Raw genomic sequence first — 27,014 nt, 5'->3', positions numbered from 1 at the left:
GGTTTTCTAGCATTGGCCCTCTGATCTGATTAGATTTAAAGGCACTAATGACCATGTCTCCAGTGGTAAAGGGAGCACTAGTAGTTCATGGCATGTGGTAGTTCATGGCCAAAAAAGTTACTCAAATTATCTCCTTTAGATACCTGCAATCAAATGCTTATAAAAGGCATTTCAGGTTTTCAAGTATTTGCTACCAATAGAATATTTTAGTGAAAATGAGCAAGATAGAGTTGGTTGGTTGCTTCTAACAATACCTGAGAACTTAGGGAAAGAAAATTATAAGCTCAGGGCTTTAAATTCTTAGCTCAACATTCTCACAAGGGACCTGGAATCTTCTATGTTTACTCTGAAACCATTATCTTCTGTAGGCACAGGACTGAAGTTTATGAAAATGAAAGAAAAAACATTCTCACCTTGTGAGTGGCTGAATTACAATGTCAACTGAATGCCCAACCACACAGGGCCCCTTTGTTAAAGTTACGGCATTGATTGGAAGGAATGGCATTCTCAGAAACTGGAATCAAGACATATGGGCAGATTGTGACGAAGCTGGTGTCTTGAACCTATAAATTACACCAAGCCTTTTTCACCAGAAGAAAGAGCCCTACCATCTCTTCCTCAGGAAGTTAGTCTCGCTTTGCCTAAAACACCTGCAATGGTTTCCCCTGAGGTAGTTGCCTTCCAAGATATTGCTGATCTTCTTCAGGACCTACCCCCCAAAACTCTACTTTCCTCTAGATCTGCAGCCAAACTCAAGTCTTAGCAGACTCAAGATCTCCTCACTACTTAGAATGTGAACTCCCTGAGTGCAGTGACTTTGAGTTGTTCACTGTTGAATCCTCAGCACCTAAAACAGTATCTGGCCCATAGTTTACATTCAATAAATATTTATTGAGTGAATAATGAGTGTCTCTACAGGAAATGCATACAGTTGTCCATTACTGCCTGTAGGAAAATTCAATATGGAGCAAACTGTTAGGAAATCTATTGAGGCTGAATATTTAAGCCACATCCTCCATTCTAGCTTTTATCAATAATGTTCATGCTTTAATCTCTATCAGATTCTTGCATCTATTGGGGTAGGAAAGAGAGGAGTATTATTTATTAGCCCCCTAAAGCCACAATCACATTTTCCAGAAAAATAAAATAAAGCATTTCATTACATTTTTAAATCTTAATTTTCAATTTTTGTGGGTATAGAGTACATGCATATATTTATGGGGTACATCAGATGTTTTGATATAGGCATGCGATGTGAAATAAGCACATCATGGGGAATGGGTTATCCATCCCCTAGGCATTTATCCTTTAAGTTATAAACCATCCAATTATACTCTTTAAGTTATTTGAAAATGTATGATTAAGTTATTATTGACTATAGTCACTCTATTGTGCTGTCAAATGGTATGTCTTATTCATTCTTTCTATGTATTTTTGTACCCATTAGCCATTCCCACTTCCCTTTCAGCCCCCGCCCCACACTACCCTTCCCAGTATCTGGTAACCATCCTTCCATTATCTATGTCCATGAGTTCAATTGTTTTGAATTTTAGATCCCACAAATAAGTGAGAACATGACATACGATGCTTTTCTGTCTGTGCCTGGCTTATTTCACTTGGCATAATGATCTCCAGTTCCATCCATGTTGTTGCAAATTACTGAATGACATTCTTTCTTATGATTGAATAGTACTCTATTGTGTATATGTACATTTTCTTCATTCATTCATCTGTTGATGAACACTTTGGTTGCTTCCAAATCTTGGCGATTGTAAGTATGGGAGTGCAGATATCTCTTTGATATACTGATTTGCTTTCTTTGGGGAATGAACCCAATAGTGGGATTGCTGAATCATATGGTTGTCCTATTTTTTGTTTTTAGGGGAATCTCCAAACTGTTCTCCATAGTGGTTGTACTAATTTATATTCCCGCCAATAGTGTACAAGGGTTCCCTTTTCTTCACATCCTTGCCAGCATTTGTTACTGCCTGCCTTTTGAATATAAGCAATTTTAATTGGAATGAAATTATATCTCATTGTAGTTTTGATTTGCATTCCTCTGATGATCAGTGACATTGAGCATCTTTTCATATGCCTGTTTGCCATTTGTATATCTTCCTTTGAGAAATGTCTATTTAAATCTTTTGCCCATTTTTAATTATACTATTAGATGTTTTTCCTGTTGAGTTGTTTCAGCTCCTTACATATTCTGGTTATTAATCCCTTGTCAGATGGATAGTTTGCAAATATTTTCTCACATTCTATTTTGTGAGAAATAGTTTGTCTTTTCACTTTGTTGATTGTTTTGTTTGTTGTGCAGAAGCTTTTTTAACTTGATGTGATCCCATTTGTCAATTTTTGCTTTGGTTACCTGCGCTTGTGGGATAATACTCAACAAATCCTTGCCCAGACTAATCTCCTGGAGATTTTCCCCAATGTTTTCTTGTAGTAGATTCACAGTTTGAAGCTTTAGATTTAAGTCTTTAATCCATTTGATTTGACTTTTGTATTGGTGAGAGATACAGGTCCAGTTTCATTCTTTTTTATATGGATATCCAGTTTTTCCAGCACCACTTATTGAAGAGACTGTCTTTTCCTCAGTGTGTGTTCTTGGCACATTTGTCGAAAAATGAGTTCACTGTAGGTGTGTGGATTTGCTTCTGAGTTCTCTGTTCTGTTCCATTGGTCTATGTGTCTGTTTTTATGCCAGTACCATGCTGTTTTATTACCATAACTAGTATAATATGAAGTCAGTAATGTGATTCCTCTGGTTTTGTCCTTTTTGCTTAGGATAGATATGGCTATTCTGGGTCTTTTGTGGTTCAATATGAAATTTAGGATAGTTTTTTTTATTCCTGTGAAGAATATTGTGAGGATTAATACTGAGTGTCAATTTGATTGGTTTGAAGAATGCAAAGTATTGATTCTGGGTGTGTCTGTGAGGGTGTTGCCAAAGGAGATTAACACTTGAGTTGGTGGACGGGGAAAGGCAGACCCACTCTTAATCTGGGTGGGCACAATCTAATCAGCTGCTAGAATGGCCAGAATAAAAGCAGGCAGAAGAACATGAAAAGACTAGAATGGCTTAGCCTCCTAGCCTACATCTTTCTCCGTGCCGGATGCTTCCTGCCTTCAAATATCAGACTCCAAGTTCTTCAGCTTTGGGACTCGGATTGGCTTCATTGATCCTCAGCTTGCAGACAGCCTATCATAGGACCTTGTGATTGTGAGTTAATACTCCTTAATTAACACACACACACACACACACATATATATATATATATATTTTTTTCTATTAGTTCTGTCCGTCTAGAGAACCATGATTAAATACAGATTTTGGTATCAAGAGTCTTTCTAGAGGAACAGATTATTAAGGATGGAGTTCTTTTGTTGGTTTTGGCGTTTCTGGAGTTGGCTTCTTAATATGATTAGACCTAAAAATGCTAAGGACTCTAATTCTAATAGTGTGGAGAACACTGGTAGTCTTTGGTGTGGACTGTTTAAAGAGTTATGCAAAATAAATTCATTTGACACACCTGATTCACCACTCGTGAGAGGCAAGGAGTTTAGTGACTCTACACATAATACCTTTGACTATATGTGGAGAACCAAGGAACACAATGACATTGGTTGGTTGGTTGCTTCAAAATTCACTGGACGAGGTGATGAAAGAAAATGATGAACTCAGGGATTCTAACTCCCAGTTTCAGAAGCAGATACTGAGCCTCAAATCTGCTAATCTTGCCCTGAGTGAGAGTCTTATCTCCTGTAGAGAAAGAGCTGAAATTGTGGAAAATCAGACACAAGCTCTTATTATACTAGTGGCTGACCTGCAATGAAAGATGCATGCACAGCCTCACCAGGTGTCTACTGTTAAAGTGAGGGTATTGATTGAAAAAGAATAGAACCATGCAACTTGCGATCAATATATGGAAGGACCCTGATGAAGCTGGGTACACTGAGCTTGTAAACTCTGATGAAACTTTTAGCCAGAAGAAGCAGCTTCTCCATCCCCAGTAGTGGCAACATCCCCTCCCTGACCCATGCTGCCATCAGCCTTTCCACCTTTGCCTGAGGAGATAAACCCTGTGCTGCCTGAGACAACAATGATGTCCTCCCCTGATGCAGTTGCCAGGCAAGATAATGTTGATTCTCCTCAGGAGCCACCCCCAACACCTCTGTTTTCTTCTAGACCTATAACTTGACTAAAGTCCTAGTGGGTTTCTAGAGTTGAGGTTCAGAGTATGAGCCATGAGGAGGTGGACTACACTTGAAAAGAACTGCTTGAGTTTTCTGATTTATATAAGCAGAAATCTGGAGAACAGACATGGGAATGGATATTAAGGGTGTGGGATAATGGTGGAAGGAACATAGAGTTGGATCAGGCTGAATTTATAGATTTGGGTCCTCTAAGTAGGGATTCTGCATTTAATGTTGTAGCTCAGGAAGTTAAAAAAAGGTTCTAATAGTTTATTTGTTTGGTTAGCTGAAATATGGATTAAAAGATGGCCTACTGTAAGCAAGCTGGAAATGCCTGATTTTCCTTGGTTTATGTAGAGGAAGGAATCCAAAGGCTTAGGGAGATTGGGATGCTAGAGTGGATTAGTCACTTTAGACCTACTCATCCCAGCTGGGAGGGTCCAGAAGATGCAACCTTGAACTGTGCTTTGTGAAATAGATTTGTGAGGGAAGCACCTGCATCTTTGAAGGGCTCTGTGATTGCTCTTCTCTGCATTCCAGATCTAACAGTGGGAACCACAGTCACTCAACTACAAAATTTACATGCAATGGGAATAATTGGATCCCAAGTTGGCAACTCCCAAGTGGAGGTACTCAACCATCAAAGGTAAGGTAGGCATAGCTACTGTAATAGACAGCAGAGGCAAAGCAGTAATCAGAATAGTCTGACTCGTGTAGAGCTCTGGCATTGGCTAATTAATTGTAGTGTTCCTAGAAGTGAAATTGATAGGAAGCCTACTGCATTCCTACTTAATTTATATAAGCAGAAAACTTCCAGGTTGAGTGGACAAAAGACTAATTTGAATTATAAAAGTAGAACATAATGACCCTTCAATCAATTTCCAGACGAGCCAGTTTACAGACCCAGAATCCCTCGAATGAAAGGGAGGCTGAGTCCCCTTGAGGAAGGACCCCTACACGCTACTGATAATTTATGCTGTTAATCTTTCTCCCATCCTTTCCCAAGGAGACCTCTAGCATTTTACCAGGGTAGCTGTGCACTGGGTAAAGGGAAATGACAAGACATTTCAGGGACTACTGGACACTGGCTCTGAGCTGACATTGATTCCAGGGGACCCAAAACGTCATTGTGGTCCTCCAGTTAAAGTAGGGGTTTACAGAGGTCAGATAATCATGGTGTTTTGCTCAGGTCTGACTTGCAGTGGGTCCAGTGGGTCCCTGGACTCATCCTGTGGTCATTTCCCCAGTGCCAGAATGCATAATTGGCATAGACATACTTAGCAGCTGGCAGAACCCCCAAATTGGCTCCCTGATTGGTAGAGTGAGGGCTACCATGGTGGGAAAGGCCAAATGGAAACCATTAGAGCTACCTCTACCTAAAAAAAATAGTAAATCAAAAACATTATCACAGTCCTGGAGGGATTGTGGAGATTAGTGCCACCATCAAGGACTTGAAAGACACAGGGGTGTTGATTCCCACCACATACCCATTCAACTCTCCTATTTGGCCTGTGAAGAAGACATATGGATCTTGGAGAATGACAGTGGATTATCATAAGCTTAACCAAGTCATAACTTCAAGTGCAATTGCTGTACCAGATGTGGTTTAATTGCTTGAGCAAATTAACACATCTCCTGGTACCTGGTATGCAGCCATTGATTTGGCAAATGCCTTTTTTTCCATTCCTGTCCATAAGGCCCACCAGAAGCAATTTGCCTTCAGCTGGCAAGGCCAGCAATACACCTTTACTGTCCTACCTCAGGGGTATATCAACTCTCCAGTTTTGTGTCATAATCTTGATCACTTTTTGCTTCCATAAGATACCACATTACACTGATGACATTATGCTGATTGGATCCAGTGAGCAAGAAGTAGCAAATACACTGAACTTATTGGTGAGACATCTGTGGGCCAGAGAATGGGAAATAAATCCATAAATCTGATTAACATTTAGGGACCTTCTACCTCAGTAAAATTTCTAGGGTTTCAGTGGTGTGGGGCCGGTCAAGATATTCCTTCTAAGGTGAATGATAAGTTGCTGCATTTGGCCCTTCTTACAACCAAGAAAGAGGGACAATACCTAGTGGGCCTATTTGGATTTTGGAGGCAACACATTCCTCATTTTGGTGTGTTACTCTGGCCCATTTATTGAGTGACCTGGAAGGCTGCCAGTTTTTAGTAGGGTCCAGAAGAGGAGAAGGCTCTTCAACAGGTCCAGGCTGCTGTGAAAGCTGCTCTGCCACTTGGGCCATATGACCCAGCAGATCTAATGGTTCTTCACGTGTCAGTGGCAAACAGGGATGCTGTTTGGAGCCTCTGGCAGGCCCCCATAGGTTTATTACAGTGCTCTAGGATTTTGGAGCCAGGCTCTGCCATCTTCTGCAGATAACTACTCTTCTTTTGAGAGACAGACCTTGGCCTGTTACTGGGCTTTGATGAAAACTGAACATTTGACTATGAGTCATCAAGCCACCATGTGACCTGAACTGCCTATCATGAACTGGGTGCTTTCTGACCCATCTAGCCATAAAGTGGGTCGTGAACAGCAGCATTCCATCATCGGATGGAAGTGAATATACCTGACTGGGCTCGAGCAGGTCCTGAAGGCACAAGTAAGTTACACGAGAAAGTGGCTCAAATGCCCATGATCTCCACTCCTGACACCTTGCCTTCTCTCCCACAGTCTGCACCAATGGCATCTTGGGGAGTTTCCTATGATCAGTTTACAGAAGAGAAGGCTACAGCCTGGTTCACAGATGGTTCTGCATGATATGCAGGCACCACCCCAAAGTGGACAGCTGCAGCACTGCAACCCCTTTCTAGGACATCCCTTAAGGACAGCAGTGAAGGGAAATCTTCCCAGTGGGCAGAACTTTGAGCAATGCATCTCGTTGTGCACTTTGCATGGAAGGAGAAATGGCCAGATGTGTGATTATATACTGATTCATGGCCTGTAGCCAGTGGTTTGGCTGGATGGTCAGAGACTTGGAAGTATAATTGGAAAATTGGTGACAAAGAAATTTGGGGAAGAGGTATGTGGGTGGACCTCTCTGAGTAGTCAAAAACTGTGAAGATATTTATATTTCATGTGAGTGCTCACCAAGGGTGACCTCAGCAGGAGTGTTTACTAATCAAATGGATAGAATGACTCATTCTGTGGACACCACTCAGCCTCTTTCCCCAGCCACCACTGTCGTCACCAAAAGGACCCATGAACAAAGTGGCCATGGTAGCAGAGATGGAGGTTTCATGTGAGCTCAGCAACCTGGACTTCCACTCACCAAGGCTGACCTGGCTACAGCCACTGCTGAGTGCCCAATTTGCCACAGCAGAGAGCAACACTGAGCCCTCCATATGGCACCATTTCTAGGGGCGATCAGCCAGCTACCTGGTGGTGGCAGGTTGGTTATATTGGACCACTTCCCTCATGGAAAGGGCAGAGGTTTGTCCTCACTGGAATAGACACTTACTCCGGATATGGGTTTTCCTATCCTGCATGTAGTACTTCAGCCAAGACTACCATCCATGGACTCACAGAATGTCTTATCCACCCTCATAGTATTTCACACAGCATTGCCTATGACCAAGACACTCACTTTATGGCTAAGGAAGTGTGGCAGTGGGCTCATGCCCATGGAATTCACTGGTCTTACCATGCTCCTCATCATCCAGAAGCAGGTGGATTGAAAGAACTGTTGAGTGGCCTTTTGAGGTCACAATTACAACACCAACTAGGTGACAATACATTGCAGGGCTGGGGCAAAGTTCTCCAGAAGGCTGTGTATGCTCTGAACCAGTGTCCGATATATGGCACTGTTTCTCCTGTAGCCAGGTTTCACTGGTCCAGGAATTAAGGGGTGGAATTGGAAATGGCACCATTCACCATCACCCCTAGTGATCCACTAGCAAAATTTTTGCTTCTTGTTCCCATGACATTATGTTCTGCTGGCCTGGAGGTCTTAGCTCTGGAGGGAGGAACGCTGCCACCAGGAGACACAATAACAATTCCATTAAACTAGAAGTTAAGATTGCCACCTGGACACTTTGAGCTCCTCTTACCTTTAAGCCAACATGCTAAGAAGGGAGTTGCAGTGTTGGCTGGGGTGACTGATCTGGACTATCAAGATGAAATCAGTCTACTACTCCACAATGGAAGTAAGGAAGAGTGTATGTGTAATACAGAAGATGCTTTAGGGCATCTCTTAGTATTACTATGCCCTGTGATGAAGGTCAATGGGAAACTACAATAGTCCAATCCAGGCAGGACTACAAAGGGTCCAGATCCTTCAGGAATGAAGGTTTGGGTCACTTCACCAGGGAAAAAACCATGACCTGCTGAGGTGCTTGCTGAAGGCAAACGGAATACAGAATGGGTAGTAGAAGAAGGTAGTTATCAATACCAGCCTACAACCACATGACCAATTGCAGAAACAAGGACTGTAATTGTCATGAGTATTTCCTCCTTCTTTTGTTAAAAACATGTTTGTGCATGCATACACTTGTACTAAGAAAATATCTTCATTTTATTTCCTTTTTCCTTTAACGTGACATAATATTTATTGACTTCATATCAGCATTTAAGTGTTGTTAACTTTATGTAATAACATTTGGGTTGGGAATTGGTGTGCTTCTGGTTGCGTGAAAGATAGTTGTATTGTGTTAGGCATAATTACGACCTTATTATTGTCTTTATTTGAAGATTATGTATGATCTTAGGAGATGTGTATGGGTTCAAGTTGATAAGGGGTGGACTTGTAATAGTTAATACTGAGTGTCAACTTGATTGGATTGAAGAATGTAAAGTATTGGTCCTGGGTGTGTCTGTGAGGGTGTTGCTAAAGGAGATTAACATTTGAGTCAGTGGTGTGGGAAGGGCATACCCACCCTTAATCTGGGTGGGCACAATTCAATCAACTGCTGGCATGGCCAGAATAAAAGCAGGCGGAAGAATGTGAAAAGACTAGACTGGCTTAGCCTCCCAGCCTATATCTTTCTCCATGCTAGATGCTTCCTGCCCTCAAACATCAGACTTCAAATTCTTCAGCTTTGGAACTTGGACTGGCATCATTGCTTCTCAGCTTGCAGATGCCCTATTATGGGACCTTGTGATTGTATGAGTTAATGCTCCTCAATAAACTCCCCTTCATATATACATATATATATATATATATATATATATATATATATATTTGATTATATATATATAGAATGATATATATATATCGTATAAATATATATCCTATTCTACATATACAAAATAGGATATATATTATATATAATAGGATATATATACACACATATATAATAGGATATATATAGCCTATTAGTTCTATATATAATAGGATATATATAAAAAATAGGATATATATAACAGTATACATATAATGGGATATAGACACACATATATAATAGGATATATGTACATATATATCATATTCTGTCCCTCTAGAGGACTGTGATTGATACAAATGTCGTTGGTATTTTGATAGAGGGTGCATTGAATCTCTAAATTGTTTTGGGTAATATGAACATTTTAATAATATTGATTCTTCTAATTCATAAACATGGAATTTTTTCCATTTTTTGGTGTCCCCTTCAATTTCTTTTGTCAGTGTTTTATAGTTTTCATTATACAGGTATTTCACTTAGTATTTCATTTTAAAGTTATACCCAGTCAAGCCAGTGCAAAAACGTTTAATGTCAATGTTTAGGGAGATGTCCTTTTAGGACTTGTGCTGAACTCATTGAAGCTCTGAATTTTCAGGGAGCCCCTTGTTCATGTTTGTGTTCTTTATTTTGATCCAATCAAGTCCTTATGCAGACATAGCTGCTAAAACTGTGAGCCTTAAACCCTCAAAATTGCCAGAACTCAAGTTCCTTGTGGCTGATAGATGTAGTCTTTCCTTAACTTTAATTCATTACAAAGTATTTTCTTGTTTAACACAATGTAAAGAATGTTGCCTCACCATAGGTTATGCATAGAAAAAAGATGATTTGTTAGGGAAAAAATGTACAGTGACAGCAGTCTTTTGAATTCAACCTATAGAATATATACTATATCTGAAATATTTTATACCATTTTTTCAGTCATACACACTTTCTACTATCAGAATACTTTGACAATTATAATCAGGGAGACAGAAAGGATAGAAATTTTAAAATAAAATTGCATTTATAAATCATTTGTGTTAGAATATAATGAATTTCTACTGAAGTCACTTATTACTTATGTTGTTTCAAAAGCTACTGCATATATTAATTGCTAATAACAAGCTACATGACTGAAACAAAAAGATCATCTAATCCAATCTAACTTCCTTTCCAAGAAAATCAATCAATGATGTTGCTAAGAAAATGGAATAGAAAAACTGTTCACCTTGTAGCCATTATTGCATATTCAGTGTTGAGACTTCTGGTCTAGTTGCCATTGAGGGATTTTTCTTTGAAAATGTGAAAATCAAGGTAACCGTTTATTGTCAGACTTTTGTTGCTATGGAAGTATTCATTATCTTGGAACACCTAATGCGAAGAAAACAAATAGAATTAGTGGAGGCATAAATGGAATATAAACTTGTGACCTCCTACATTGCAACTAGAGCAAGTCTCCTTCCTTATTTTGCTCAATAGATTTTCTGAAGCTGCTCTGTGAAAATACCAGGTGGTAGTTGGAGGGAATGTCTGTTCAGCAATGTCTGGGGTGGGGTGGGGGAGGTGCTAAACCAGGACTAGACTGCCTGTTAGTGCTCATGTAAAGTTCCCAGTCTAGAGAATGAAGAGGCAGAGGGACAAAAAAGCTGACAAGTTTGGGGATTTGGTTTGGCAATGTCTATGTGAATAGAGCCTGACCCTTGTGTCTTTAGAAATTTTAAGTAAATGATCCAAGCTTCAGGTTTGGTCATTTCCTAGGTCCTTTAAATGGATCTAGGCAACAAATGAGACATGTCATAAAGATCATGTGAAAGCCTGATTGCTGTCACTAGTAACTGTTTCCAAAATAATTCAGACAGCATCCCATTCACTCTTTTTAACTAACCACCTCCTTGTTATTATCTTATCTGACTCCTGGCCCTTGGGTCTGAATTCCAATCTCAGTACGAATGTTAGGTTTCACCTCCTGATTCTGAGGAACCATTCTGGTCATGCTTTTGGTTCTCTCTATTAAGTAGAATTTTGGAACTTGACTTTTAGCTTCAGAATTTCTATATGGGAAAAGCATAGGAGTGGTAAGAGTGTGGGAAAGCAGGGACTGAGGGAACTATAAAGAAATTTTTATGTGCATGGCACACATATTTTTATTCATCTTGTTTGTTATAGAGTAATTAAGATGCCAAGTTTTAGAAAGTTACTGTAAGCATAGTTAGGATAAAATTGAGAAAATATCCTTATCAAGGAATTTTAATCTTTCTTAATTTTGTGATGGTTTAGAAAAGAACAATTAATGGAGATTTTACGGAGAAGGGGAATAAAGTCCTGGCATACCCCAGACTTTCATTTTCAAGTATTATAGCTTCCAGCAACTTGCTCTCCACTGGAATGGCCTTGACTCACCATCAGAGGGATCTGACACAAATACTAGCTGCACCCATAAGTGGCAGGATATTATCAATACCACAAAACCTTCTATGATGTATTAGTTAGAGCTTTTATAGTTATGGATGGCAGAAAACTTAATCCAATTGGCCTAAGCAAAGAGGAATTGGTCTACTATAAGAAACACATATAGGGCAGTGCTAACTTCAGATCCACTTGGCTTCTGGGGCTGAACATCATCTATCTCTGTGTCTTGGCATTGTTCTATTCCACAAGTTGATGTCATTTTCAGACAGGCCCTTATCTTGCAGAAGTGAAACGACTGCATCAGTTCTAACTTTACTTTCATATCCTGAAGAGACCAGGAACGTTACTGAAGGTGGGAGAATCTGGACTTATCAAATATAATTGTGGTGATATTTCTGTAAGGATGGGGAATAGATGATAGACGGCAACTCTGCAACTGTCCACCTCACATGACTCTTTGACACTCAGACATTGAATATTTTCCTACTTTTTATTTCAACCTTGCTCCTAATTTACACATCATCCTATCTATCACTTCCCCTCTCACTCTAAGTAACTACAATATATTAGATAGAATGCGCCTGGGATTCTATGCAGCACCTTAAATGCCTGTCTTAGCCTGTCATTTTAAATTCAGTAAATGTGTATTAGATTCCTTTATGTAGGGCATTGAATTACATAATGCTTGGCTGTGGAACAAGAAGAGCCAGGCTATTTTTTTCCAGGCAGTAAGTGTTTATCTCTGGGTAATATATTAATTTGAGGAAGGACATTCCTAGTTGGCTTTTACCCATGCAATGAATCATGTAGCTAGACTCCTTCCATCTTGTGGCATCATCATTCCAGGGACTTATAATCATCTGACTCTAGCTGGTGGAAGGGAGAAAAGAGATAGAGAAGTTACATGAGGTTCCTAAAACTCTTGGCCACAAAGGAGGACCCTCCCTCTCATGTTTCATTGGTGAGAATTAGTCAGATAGCCATGTGCAGGTAGGTGCAGGAGCATTGGGAAATATCATTCTTAGCCATCTCTGCATTCTCACTGCACACATCACAGTGTGAGGAAACATGCAAAATATGGAGTCTCTGTTTCTTTAGAAGGGAAAGCCGATTCCTATAGATACATAGCAGACAATAACTGAGGAAGAAGTTTCACAATTCATTTTAGAAAACCAAGGATTTTGGTGTTGTTTTGGATTTTGACCCCCTGAGTGTTGGTTATATATGTTGAAATTTCTTGGCATACTGCCATTCCCCAAAATATGCACAGATAGAAGCTTAGTAAATGCTGCTTGAAGGTAATGTTCTTCTTTCTCAGGGCAGGATCTGATTTTTTTGAAACTCCCTATATGCCTGATACAATAGTCTGCTCACAGCAGGTACATAGGAACAGTTAGCAGGTACCCCGGGGCAACTCTGCTTCCAAGATCTTAATCTCCTTTCTGACCTTGCCCTTTCTTTCCTACTGGAGTTGCTCTTGGTTCTCACCATGAGCTTCATTCCAAAGACTATCACTACAATGCTGGGTTTACTTTCCTGCTTCTCAGAGCAGACATTCAATGGCACACAAAGTAGCATACTCAGATCCATCACTCCCTTCAATAAGCATTAGCAGCAAAGCCTAAGCATTACTTAGAATAAGATATTGCCTAAGTATTACTTAGAATAAGATTCCTAAACTATTGTGTGGGGATCTATCTCATCATATTAGAATAGGTTACACTTTTTCAGTACCATATTCCGTTAATCACTTAATTATCTCCATGATCATATTTTTTTTAAAAAAACAGCAACCTTCCCCCCAAACCAGAGCAGATATCATTTCAGATTTTTACATATAGTAGAATGTTTGCTTTTTTTATTTTTTAGATCAGTGCCATTTACTGGTGCCATTTGCCCAAGGCAAATTTATTCTTATAAAAATCTCATAATTCTAAAATAATGGCAGATCTTCATATTCTTTAGATGTGAGTTGTTTGGAATGTTATATTAACATAGCACACATTGGGGCTTATTTAGCTTTGCGTCTTTAGCTCAAACTGTTTTATAATTTCTAGCAGAGAAGATAACCCTAAAATAATGCATATTAAAGAACAAGCTCTAGTAATTATAGAAATCTCGTTTCATATAATCAAGTCCAAACACCTTATCAATGCTGGATCACCTGATTGTGGAGCTCCCCTTTGTAATCATCTTTGCAATTCCAGCCCTGGAAGTTTTGTTGCCATGAGGTTTTGACAATGGCATGAATAGTGGCTACTCCTTCCTGTTTGGGTAAGAAAAAGGAAATGGGAATTAAGGAGGTGAGAGTATGTTCCCAGTGGGAAGCTCTGGGCAGTGTGATGAAGCAGGGAAAGTGTTAAGGGACACCAAAACAAACACACACACAGAGGTGCGTGGGAAGATCTCGAATTTGTGAGAATTCAAGATTATACAATTTGGGCTGGGCGCGGTGGCTCACACCTGTAATCCCAGCACTTTGGGAGGCCTAGGGGGGTGGATCACGAGGTCAGGAGGTCGAGACCATCCTGGTGAACATGGTGAAACCACGTCTCTACTAAAAATAAAAAAAAAATTATCCAGGCGTGGTGGTGGGCGCCTGTAGTCCCAGCTACTCGGGAGGCTGAGGCAGGAGAATGGTGTGAACCCAGGAGGCAGAGCTTGCAGTGAGCTGAGATGGCACCACTGCACTCCAGCCTGGGCTACTGAGCAATACTCTGTCTCAAAAAAAAATTATACAATTTGAAGAGCTCTCTTTAAGGAAAGAAATTTGAAATTATAAATTCATGATTTTATATTCACAAAAATGAATATCTATCTGGAATGAAAAAGAAATGACAAGTTACAAATTTTTAAAAGGTGGTAAATTCAACAAATGTCACAAAAATCAAGAAAAATTGCATAATCATTAGCTATCTAACACACTTGTCAAATACTTTTTTGTCTGGAGTTTTGACCCCGTGATCACTTCTTCATAAGAAACATTTTGCAGAAAGAGAATGAAATGATAATTCAATATTTCCTTAGCATGATTAATTGAAATTTACCTTTTTATTACTGACTGTTGAAAGGCAAAACATAGGAAACTTTAGACACTATTTACAGTGCCGCTACAAGTTCATACTCTATAAGTATAGAGATTATGATAAATTCTATGTATGTAATTTCCATCAAAAAAGAAAAAAGTTGCACTGTGCATTCATGATTGTACATACAATGTGTTATTTAATATGTTCTTGTTTTCATAAAACGTTCATGAGCATCATCATCTCCTTTGCTTACATTTTACATGCCTGACAACTGGAAAACTTTTCCACTGACCAGCTCTGGCTCATGCATTTCAACTTTTTAAAATTTTCACTACCCACATATATCTGGCCCCAGATGCTCTAGGACATGTTCATATTCTGATATGATCTCTAGATACTTTGAATCAAAACCCAGGTGTATTTTCACAGTGATAGTAATAATATTTCTGGAAGGTGTGGCTAGAAATAATTATCCATGGATGTGACTGTGAATTATAAATAAATTCTAGTAAACTCAAGCTAAATATATCTCTAACTCAACTTCTTCTGAGCAAGATCCTCAGAATATCTGTGGCCACTGAAACACTACTGCACCGGTGTGGCAGGGGGCAAGTCAGAGTGGAAAAGAATAGTCTCAATTCACTGAAATTAAAATATCTTACTTTTGTGAATTAAAAAAGGAAATATATGCACATATTGTTGGGCCTGTATTCATCAGCATTCAGCCAGAGAAACAGAACCAGGAGGAGATATATACTAAGAGGTTTATTGCAAGGAATTGCAATAAATTCCTTGCAATTTATTCCTTGATAAATAAATTCCTTAATTTACTCCTTAATAAATTAAGAAGTTTATTGCAAGGAATTGCAAGGAATTGGTTTACATGATTGTGGCAAGTCCAAAATATTTAGGATAGACTGAACTCTCAGGCATGGGTAGCAAAAATCTGCTGTCCACAGGTGGAATTTCTTCTTTATTAAGGAAGCATCAACTCCACTCTTACAGCTCAACTGATTAAATCAGTCCTATTCAGATTTCCTAAGATAATCTCTCTTACTTAAAGTCAACTGAGTATGGAATTTAATCAAATCTACACAGTACTGTCATAGCAACATCTAGGTTAGTGTTTGATTGAATTTCTGGTGACCATAACCTAGCTAAGTTGATAAGTGCAACTAATCATTGTAGGGATGTTTCCAGGCTTTGTAAATGGGCTGTGCAAAAGAGGAATGTTTAAAATGCTCTTGTTTTAGAAAAATCTGCACCTGGAGAGGGCACAGGGAATGAAAGGGATAGTTTGGAGAATACCTAGAACTGCTTCTCAATTTTGCATCAGATACATCTTACAGATTTCTTTCTCTTTCTTTTTCTTTCTTTCTTTCCTTCTTTCTTTCTTTCTTCCTTTTTTCTTTCTTCTTTCTTTCTCTCTCTTTCTTCTTTCTCTTTCTTTCTTTCTTTCTTTCTTTCTTTCTTTCTTTCTTTCTTTCTTTCTTTCTTTCTTTCTTTCTTTCTTTCTTTCTTTCTTTCTTCCTTTCTTCCTTTGTTCCTTTCTTCCTTTCTTTCTGATGGAGTTTCACTCTTGTTGCCCAGGCTGGAGTGCAATGGTGCTATCTCAGCTCACTACAACCTCCGCCTCCCAGGTTCAAGTGATTCTCTTGCCTCAGCCTCCCAAGTAGCTGGGATTATAGGCACAAACCACCACGCCCCGGCGAATTTTTGTATTTTTAGTAGAGATGGGGTTTCACCATGTTGGCCAGGCTGGTCTCGAACTCCTGACCTCAGATGATCCACCCGCCCTGGCCTCCCAAAGTGCTGGGATTATAGGCATGAGCCACCGTTCCTGGCCAGACCTATTTCTTTATTCTGGGTTACATGAATTTCAAAAAGTCTTCAGGGATTTCTCTACATTGAATTTATAGAAGGAACTAATTGGATTCCTCAGAAAGATTCAGTGTTTGACCCCTGAGGAATGGAAATTCATGGCTGTAATAAGTAGCACATTACACAATAGGAGCATAAAGTTACTTGCTTCTATTATTATATATGTAAGAATAATAAGGGTCAATACCTGTAAGTAACCTACTTACGAGAAATTGTGTTCAGTCCCAATGCTCACGAAGTTATCTACCTGGGTCTTAGTGTGTGTGTCTGTGTGTGTGTGTGTGTGTGTGTGTGTGTAAGAATAAAGACTTTTAGATATGAAGAAAGCAGTAACAATTACCAGGTTTTTGAAACTAATGCTTTTTCAAAACCAACCTATTTGACAGCATTTTCTCATAGAGTTAAGAAAATTATTCTTTTAAAATAAATACCAGAGACATAAGTAATGCTTTTGAAACATTGTACATTGAAGGTGAGACACTTAATAAGTTTTTTTTGTTGTTATTATTTTTTTTTTGTAGATAGACTCTAGTCAGAGTGATGTTTTGTGAGAGCCACAGAAATATTTATAAGTGGCAATGTTAAATATATTTGGACCTTGGCTTTGAAATATTGGTAAAAGTGTTCGAAGGTTTAAATTTTGTGCCTTTTGTTCAAGGGTAAATAGGCTCTGGAGCTGCTATGCATGAAAGGGAACAGCATCATTGTTATCTAGAGTATGTCACGGAATCTTTATGTGCATTTGTAATATCAATTCTTTTAGTTTGCCAGAGTTTGTTTTTGCCTTGGGTTCCGAAAGCAGGGTTAACTTTTCAAAAAACTGTTTTTATTTCTAATATTTATTAGCTTATTTGACTTTCTTTGCATTTAAATGTATATTTTGGGGTTGCTCGGTCAATTTCTGTAAAAAGACAGATGGGATTTCAACAGGAATTGCATTGAATCTGCAGATTTATTTGTGGAATATTGTGATCTTGTCAAAATTAAATTGTGTTATCCTTGAATTTAGTTGTCTTTTCATTTATTTAGATCTTTGATTTCTTTCAGAATTTTTTTTTTAACTTTACAGTGGACAAGTCTCAACCTTTTATTTTCTTCCAACTTTTATTTTAGGTTCAGCGGTACATGCACAGGTTTGCTACATGAATAAATTGTATGTCATGGGGGTTTCTTGTACAGATTATTTTGTCAGGGTTAACTTTCTAATGTTAGCCTTTTCTTAAATCTACATGAAGATGTATTTATTGCTGTTTTGGGAGGAAAAAGTATCTACACACATGTGTCTCTAAATCCAGATTAAGACTATTACTACAACAAGATTCCAAACATTTCTTTAGTTGTAACGAGACGCCTATCCCAGAACCTGCAAGATGGAAAGAAAAGGCATTGTTTGGGTCTATAGTTATTTTTCAGGTTGAAACTCTCAGGAAGTGAGATTCTCCCAAGGTGAAAAGATTAGAGTGCAGTGAAAGTGGTGGCAATAGGCAGTAGTATGCTGATCAACTAGCTCTCTCAAAAAACAGAAAAAAGAAAGAAAAGCCCTGATTTCACAGTGTTTGCCCATTTTCTTGATAAAAATTTGATACAAATACACTCATCATAATGAATTTCAAGATAACAACCATTAAATATTTAGTCTCTCAAAAATCCTATTTAACAATCAGAGACAGCAACAGTCCGTTCCAGTCAGCTCTTGCACCACTATTCATTTCTTCCTCTCATTAATTCAGCAAACATTAACTGAGTACATACTATGTGTTAGCCACCATCCTATATTTTAATGAGAATAAAAATACCAATTAATATGACCTTATTCATCAGGAATTGTCACCCACTCTCTCTTGAAGTGAAGAAGTTGCTTAAAATTTGGGGCATAGAACTCAGGAACAAAAAAAGAGTGGCATCTTATGATATGGGAGATTTATACCAACTCATGAGGTGGAAGATGGAAACCTTTATTTGTACCATTCAACAACAAATGGTAATAAACATCTGGTTACTATTTTTATTGTTCTTTTACACATTGATTTCCTTGAAACCCATGTCTGGTAACCTTGATTTCACTTTAAAAAGACTAGTAACCAATAATTAATTTTTATTATCTTGGTGCTTAAAATGAGCCTAGGAAACAGCTACACCAAGTGCTCTCCCTACACCAGTGTACCTGTTGAAGTCCTTGGGTTGGTTAGCTGCTGTGGAAGAGTGAAGCATTTCTGCTTCTCCCATTTATGCCTCTGTTTAAAGGCAAGAGAGTTGTGTGCCACACCACACCTCTACTTCAGAGGAATTTTGAAGCAAGCCCTTTCGACCTCTCACTTTGTTCACCCCTATACTTATTCCTTTCCATAAGAGAAAGGGTTGCAAACTTGATGCATTGGAATTTGAGTCGCTGTGCTAAATCAATGCCCTTGGGTAGCATAGTTTTTTGACTTTTTACATGCTGTTGGATTTAAATGATAATCAGATAGATTGGTGGACATTTGTCCTCACAATAAGCAGAAGCCTGTGAAGATGAAGCAGACATATGCTTCTCATTCATGTGGCTGGCTGGGTTAGTAAATTACATGTCTGATTTGCACATCATCCTTTCCTTCAGTTATCCTTCCCTCCCTTCCAATACTCTTAAGAGAGTAGAGGATCTCACTTTACCTTTTAACTTAAACTGTATTTTCTAATCCACAGTTTAACATTGAGATATAGGACACATACACTTGTATTAATAAAAATGACAATAAATTCTTGCTTAGCTATTGATTTTTAGAATATATTCTGTATTAGTCCGTTTTCATGATGCTAATAAAGACATACCAGAGGCTGGGTAATTTACAAAAAAAAAAAGAGGTTTAATGGACTCACAGTTACATGTGGCTGGAGAGACCTCACAATCATGGTGGAAGCTGAAAGGCACGTCTTACATGGCAGCTGGCAAGACAGAATGAGAACCAAGTGAAAGGGGTCTCTGCTTATAAACCATCAGATCTCGTAAGACTTATTCAGTATGAGAACAGTATGGAGGAACCGCCCCCCTGCCCACCTTGATGATTCAATTATCTCCCACCAAGCTCCTCCCACAGCATGTGGTAATTATGGGAGCTACAATTCAAGATGAGATTTGGATGGAGACACCCAATGGTCCCCACCAATGGAGGGACCATTCCACTCTGGTCCCTCTCATATCTAATGTTGTCACATTTCAAAACAAATCATGTCCTCTCAACAGTCCCCCAAAGTCTTAACTTGTTTCAGCATTAACTCAAAAATCCACAGTCTAAATTCTTGTCTGAGACAAGGCAAGTCCCCTACCACCTATGAACCTGTAAAATCAATAGCAAGTTAGTTACTTCCTGGATACAATGAGGGTACAGGCATTGGGTAAATACAGTAGTTACAAGTGGGAGAAACTGGCCAAAACAAAGGGGCTACAGTCCTCATGCAAGTCTGAAATCTAGCAAGGCAGTCAAATCTTAAAGCTCAAAGATGATCTCCTTTGACTCTATGTCTCACAACCAGGTAACACTGATGCAAGAGGTGGGTTCCCACGGTCTCAGGCAGCTCTGTCCCTGTGGCTTTGCAAGGTACAGCCTCTCTCCTGGATGCTTTCATGAGCTGGCACTGAGTGTCTGCAGTTTTCCCAGGTGCATGGTACAAGCTGTCAGTGGCCTACCATTCTGGGGTCTGGAGGATGGTGGCCCTCTTCATGTATCTGCACTAGGCAGTCTCCCAGTGGGGACTCTGTATGGGGACTTCAATCCCCCATTTCCCTTCTGTACTGCCCTAGAAGTTCTCCATGAGGGCCCTGCCCCTGCAGAAAACTTCTACTTGGAAACCCAGGCATTTCTGTACATCCTCTGAAATCTAGGTGGAGGTTTCCAAAACTCAATTCTTGACTTCTGTGCACCTGCAGGCTCAACACCACATGGAAGTTGCCAAGGCCTGGGGCTTGCACCCTCTGAAGACATGGCCCAAGCTGTACCTTGGCCCCTTTTAGCCATGGCTAGAGCAGATGAGATGCAGGGAACCAAGTCCCTAGGCTGCACATAGTGGGGAGGCTCGGGTCCCAGCCCACAAAACCATTTTTCCCTCCTAGGCCTCCATGCCTGTGATGGGATGGGCTGCTGCAGAGGTCTCTGACATGCCCTGGAGACATTTTCCCCACTGTCTTGGCAATTAACATTTGCTTCCTCATTACTTATGCAAATTTCTGCAGTCAGCTTGAATTTCTTCTCAGAAATGGGCTTTTCTTTTCTATCATATCATCAGGCTGCAAATTTTCTGAACTTTTATGTTCTGTTTACCTTTAAAACTGAATGCTTTTACCAGCACCCAAGTCACATCTTGAATGCTTTGCTTCTTAGATATTTCTTCCACCAGATACCCTAAATCATCTCCCTCAAGTTCAAAGTTTCACAAATCTCTAGGGCAGGAGGAAAATGTCACCAGTCTTTTTGCTAAAACATAGCAAAAATCACCTTTACTCCAGTTCCCAACTAGTTCCTCATCTCCATCTGAGACCATCTCAGCCTGGATTTCATTGTCTATATCGTTATCAGCATTTTGGTGAAAGGTATTCAACAAGTCTCCAGGAGGTTCTAAACTTTCCCACATTTTCCTGTCTTCTTCTGAGCCCTCCAAATTGTTCCAACCTCTGCCTGTTATCCAGTTCCACAGTTGCTTCCACATTTTGGGTATCTTTACAGCAGCACCCCAGCCTACCAATACCAATTTACTGTAATTAGTCTGTTCTCATGCTGCTGATAAAGTCACACCTGAGATTGGGTAATTTATAAAGAAAAAGAGGTTTAGTGGACTCACAGTTCCACGTAGGTGGGGAGGCCTCACAATCATGGCAGAAAGCAAAAGGCACATCTTACATGGTGGCAGACAAGAGAAAATGAGAACCAAGTGAGAGGGGTTTCCCCTTATAAAACTGTCAGATCTTGTGAGACTTATTTACTACCATGAGAACAGTATGAGGGAAACTGCCCACATGATTGAATTATCTCCCACTGGGTCCCTCCCACAACACATGGGAATTATGAGAGCTACAATTCAAGATTAGATTTAGGTGGGGACACAGCCGAACTATATCATATTCTGTCATCAAGGGGCCTGTGAGGAGGAAACTATAGAAATTAAAATGCCACAGAAAACCCTAAGTTTACTTCTTCCCACCTTTCATCCTAACCAGTTTAGTCTAGCTTTTCTTGTGCGTTCTACTCAGGTCTGTATCTCCTTGAAACTTTCTCCTGACACCAGCTTTTCTCTTTCTGTCAATGGATATTCTCATGTCACCAAATTCCCAAACATTTCAACAGTCCCTTTATCTTCCTTACAAACAAAACCTTGGCTTTTGTCTGGTGAAACCACATTTAGATTTTACAATATCCCATATGGAAACCATTACAGCCATTATACAGAGTAATGAAAAAAAGAATATTGGGTAACTTTTGTTATTCCTCTTAACCAACTACAGCAGTAGTTTGCAACCCCTCATTCATAAATATCATTTCCATTTTTTTTTCTTTTTTTTTTCTGTGACAGGGTCTCCCTGTGTCACCCAGGCTGGAGTGCAGTGGTGTGAACATGGCTCACTGCAGTCTCGACCTCTCAGGCTCAAGTGATCCTCCCAACTCAGTCTTCCAGTAGCTGGGACTATAGGCACATGCCACCAGGCCTGGCTGTTTTTTTTTTGTTGTTTGTTTGTTTTTGTTTTTTTTGGTAGAGATAGAGCTTTATCACATTGCCTAGGCTAGCCTAGAACTCCTGAGGTCAAGTGATGTGCCTGCCTCAGCCTCCCAAAGTCCTGGGATTACAAGCAGGAGCCACTGCACCTGGCCTCAATTCCAATTTTAGAGGGTTTTCAGAACTTTCTAGGGATCAGGGAGAAACAGAAAAAATCATGGGTGTGATACATGAATAAAAAGATATTTTGGAATCAAATGCTAAGCTGGAAAAAAAGAAGAAGAAAACCATATATGTATGAACTCTACTGTGCTTAAGAGTGAACCTGGTTTATGAACATGGTATGTCTTTCCATTTATTTGTCATCTTTGCAAATTTATTTCAGCAATGTTTTGTAATTTTCAGCATACAAGTTTTTTCCTCCTTGGTTAAGTTTATTCCAAAATTTTAAAATGTTTTTTGAGTTTATCATAAATGGGATTGTTTTATTTCCCTTTTCAGATTGCTCATTGTTAATGTATAGAAACACAACTGATTTTGTATGTTGACTTTGTATCTTTACCACTTTACAGAATTATTTTATTAGTCCTAACAGGTTTGCATGTGTGTGTCTGTGTGTGTGTGTGTGTAATCTTGAGGGGTTTTTATATATAAGATGATGTCATCTGCAAACAGAGATAAATTTACTTCTTCCTTTCTGATTAGAATACCTTTCTTTTTTTCTTCTCTAATTGCTCTGGCTATTACTTGCAGTACTTTGAATAGAAGTAGAGAAAGTGGGCATTCTTGGATCTTGGAGGAAAAACTTTCAGTTTGTCACTGTGGAATATGAGGTTTGCTGTGAACTTTTCATGTATTGCCTTTATTATGCCAATGTAATTTTATTCTACTCACAACACATTAAGTGTTTTTATCAGGAAAAGGTGTTGAATTTTGTCAAATATTTTTTCTACATCTATTGAGATGATTATATAATTTTTATCCTTTATTCTGTTAATGTGGTGTATCACATTGATTAATTTGCTTATGTTGAACCCCCTTGCATCACAGTGACAAATCTTACTTGATCATGGTATATGATCCTTTGAATGTGCTGTTGAATTTGGCTTACTAGTATTTTGTTGTGGATTTTTACATCCACTTTAGTCAGTGATATTGACCTATACTTTTCTTTTCTTGCAGTGTCTTTGTCTGGCTTTCCTATTAGAGTGATGTTGGTCTCATAGAATGAGTTTCAAAGAGTTCTCTCTTCTATTTTTGTAATTACTTAAGGATGATTGGAATTAAATTTCTTTAAATGTTTGATAGGATTCATCTGAGAAGCCATATTGTCCTAGGCTTTCCTTTCTTGCAAGGTTTATAAATACTGATACAGTCTCTCTATTTGTTATAGATCAGTTCAGGATTTTTATTTTTTCTTGATTTAGTCTTAGTAGGCTGTATGTTTCTAGGAATTTGTCCATTTCCCATTTGTCTAATTTTTGGTATATAATTGTTCATGATACTTTTTATGATGTTTTTTTATTTCTGTGGGATTATTTGCAATGTCTCCTGTTTTATTTTCTATTTTATTTATTTTAGTCTCCCCTTTAAAAAATATTCTAGCTAAGGATTTTTTAATTTTGCTTATCTTTTCAAAAAAAAACCACCTAGCTGAATGAAATCAAGAATGAACTACCTTAATGAAATCGAGAAAACAATGCAATTTACAATAGCTACAAAAATAAACTACCTAGGAATAAATTTAATCAAGGAGGTGGAAAGCATGATGAAAACTACAAATAACTGATGAAAGTAGATGAAGAGGACAGTAACAAATGAAAAGCTACTCTATGCTCGTGAGTTGGAAAAATTATGACCATTCTACCCAAAGCAATCTACAAATTCAATACAAACCCTATAAAAATATCAATGACATTCTTCACAGAAATAGAACAAAATTCTAAAATTTTATGAAGCCGCAAAAGACCCTGAAGAGTCAAAGCAATATGGAGGAAAAAGAACAAAGCTGCAGGTATCACACTATCTGACTTCAAAATATATTATAAGTCTAGAATAATGAAAACAGCACGGTATTGGTATTAAAACAGATACATAGACCAATGAAACAGAACAGAGAACCCGGAAATAAATCTTTGTATTTACAGCCAACTGATTTTCCTTTTCTAAACAAATTTTTAATTTTTGTGGGTACATAGTAGGTGTATATATTTATGGGGTACATGAGGTGTTTTGATGCAGGCATGTAATGTGAAATAAGCCCATCTGGGGAATAGATTATCCATCATTTTAAACATTTATCCTTTCTGTTACAAACAATCCAATTATATTCTTTTAGTTATTTTTAAATGTACTATTAAATTGTTATTGACTACAATCACCCTATTGTGCTAGCAAATACTAGGTCTTATTCTTTCTATTCTTTTTTAGTCCATTAACCATCCCCACCTCCCCCTTTATCCCCTCTACCCCTCCCTTCCTCTGGTATCCATATTTCTACTCTCGGTATTGATGAGTCCAGTTGTTTTTATTTTCAGATCTCACAGATAAGTGAGAACATGTGAAGTTTGTATTTCTGTGCCTGGCTTACTTCACTTAACATAATGATCTTCTGTTCCATCCATGTTGTTGCAAATGACAGGGTGTCATTTTTTTATGGCTGAATAGTTCTCCATTGTGTATATGTACCACATTTTCTTTATTCATTCATCTGTGATGGACACTTAGGTTGCTTCCAAATCTTGGCTATTGTAAACAGTGCTACAACAAACATGGGAGTGCAGATAGCTCTTTGATATACTGATTTGCTGTCTTTTGTGTATATATCCAGAAGTGGGATTGCTGGATCATATGGTTGCTCCAGGTTTAGTTTTCTGAGGCACCTCCAAACTGTTCTCCATAGTGGTTGCACTAATTTACATTCCCACCAATAGTGTACAAAGGTTCCCTTTTCTCCACATCCTCATCAGCATTTGTTATTGCCTGTCTTTTGGAAATAAGCCATTTTAGCTGAAATGAGATAATATCTCATTGTAGTTTTAAATTCCATTTCTCTGATAAACCCCTTTTCATATGCCTGTTTGCCATTTTTATGTCTTCTTTTGAGAAATGTCTATTCAAATCTTTTGGCCAGTTTTAATCAGATTATTAGACTTTTTCCTATAGAGTTGTTTGAGCTCCTTACATATTCTTGTCAGGTGGGTAGTTTGCAAATATTTTTCCTCATTCTATGGGTTGTCTCTTCACTTTCTTGATAGTTTCCTTTGCTGTGCAGAAGCTTCTTAACTTATATCCATTTTTGCTTTTGTTGCCTGTGTTTGTAGGCTATTACTCAAGAAATATTTGCGCAGACCAATGTGCTGGGGATTTTCCGTAATGTTTTCTTGTAGTAGTTTCATAGTTTGAAGTCTTAGATTTAAGGCTTTAATTCATTTTGATTTTATTTTTGTATATGTTGAAAGATATGGGTCTAAATTTCATTCCTTTGCATATGAATACCCAATTTTCTGAGCACCATTTATTGAAGAGACTGTCTTTTCCCCAGTGTATGTTCTTGGCACCTTTGTCGAAAATGAGTTCACTGTAGGTGTGTGGATTTGTTTCTGGGTTCTCTATGCTGTTCCAGTGATTTATGTGTCTGTTTTTATGCCAGTAATGTGCTGTTTTGGTTACTAGAGCTCTGTAGTATAGTTTGAAGACAGGTAATATGATTCCTCCAGTTTTGTTCTTTTTGCTTAGGATAGCTTTGGCTATTTTGGGTCTTTTTTTGTTCCACATACATTTTAGGATAGTTTTTTTCTATTTCTGTAAAGGATGTCGTTGGAATTTGATAGAAATTGCATTGAATCTGTAGATTGGTTCAGGTAATATGAACATTGTCACAATAATGATTTTTCCAATCCATGAACATGGAATATTTTTTCATTTTTTGGAGTCCTCTTCAATTCCTTTGATCAGTGTTTTATAGTTTTTATTACACAAGTCTTCCACTTCTTTGGTTAAGTTAATTCCTAGTTATTTAATTTTACTTGTAGCTATTGTAAGTGTGATTACTTTCTTGACTTCTTTTCAGATTGTTCACTGCTGGCATATAAAAATGCTACTGATAGTAAATATTTTGAATGTTTTCAGACTTGTTTGGTGACCTAACATATGCTCTACCCTTGAGAATAATCCATGTGCTGAGAAAAAAAATGTACATTTTGCAACCACTGGATAAAATGTTTTGTAACTATCTGTTAGATCCATTTGGTCTACAGTGCAGATTAAACCCAATATTTCTTTTTTGATTTTCTGTCTGGAAGATCTGTCCAATGCTGATAGTAGGGCGTTTAAGTCTCCAGCTATTATTGTATTGGAATTTATCTTTCTCTTTAGTTCTAATAATATTTGCTTTATACATCTGGGTGATGCAGTGTTGGGTGCACATATATTTACAATTGTTGTATCGTCTTGCTTAATTGATCTCTTTATCATTATATAGTGATCATCTTCATCTCTTCCTTATAGCTTTTGTCTCAAACCTATTTTGTCTGATATAAGTATAGCTATTCCTGCTCTTTTTGGTTTCCATTGGCATGGAATATCTTTTTCTACTCCTTGATTTTCAGTTTATGTGTATCTATAGGTGAAGTGTGTTTCTTGTAGGCAAATCAATGGGTCTT

The 27,014-nt window shown here is 38.3% G+C and overlaps 1 long non-coding RNA gene across 5 annotated transcripts in view; it reads right to left on the bottom strand.

Annotated features, from left to right (window-relative positions):
* Positions 1–27,014, bottom strand: part of LOC102724527 (uncharacterized) — a 74,864-nt gene that overhangs the window by 7,304 nt on the left and 40,546 nt on the right. For 3 of the 5 annotated variants that reach the window (XR_007060498.1, XR_007060497.1, XR_007060500.1), the window contains exons 2-4: positions 13,923–14,024; positions 12,549–12,628; positions 10,578–10,720 (exon numbers count right to left, since the gene is read on the bottom strand). This is a non-coding gene — a long non-coding RNA (uncharacterized LOC102724527). Of the gene's footprint in view, positions 1–10,577; positions 10,721–12,548; positions 12,629–13,922; positions 14,025–19,524; positions 19,591–27,014 lie in introns of those variants that run through there. The other 2 variants (XR_007060499.1, XR_007060501.1) reach the window with 2 other exon arrangements.

The sequence above is a fragment of the Homo sapiens genome, chromosome 7, assembly GCF_000001405.40.
Source record: "Homo sapiens chromosome 7, GRCh38.p14 Primary Assembly".
Lineage (NCBI taxonomy): Eukaryota > Metazoa > Chordata > Mammalia > Primates > Hominidae > Homo > Homo sapiens.
The sequence above is the reverse complement of the archived record's forward strand: the minus strand, read 5'-3'. Positions and strand labels throughout refer to the sequence as shown.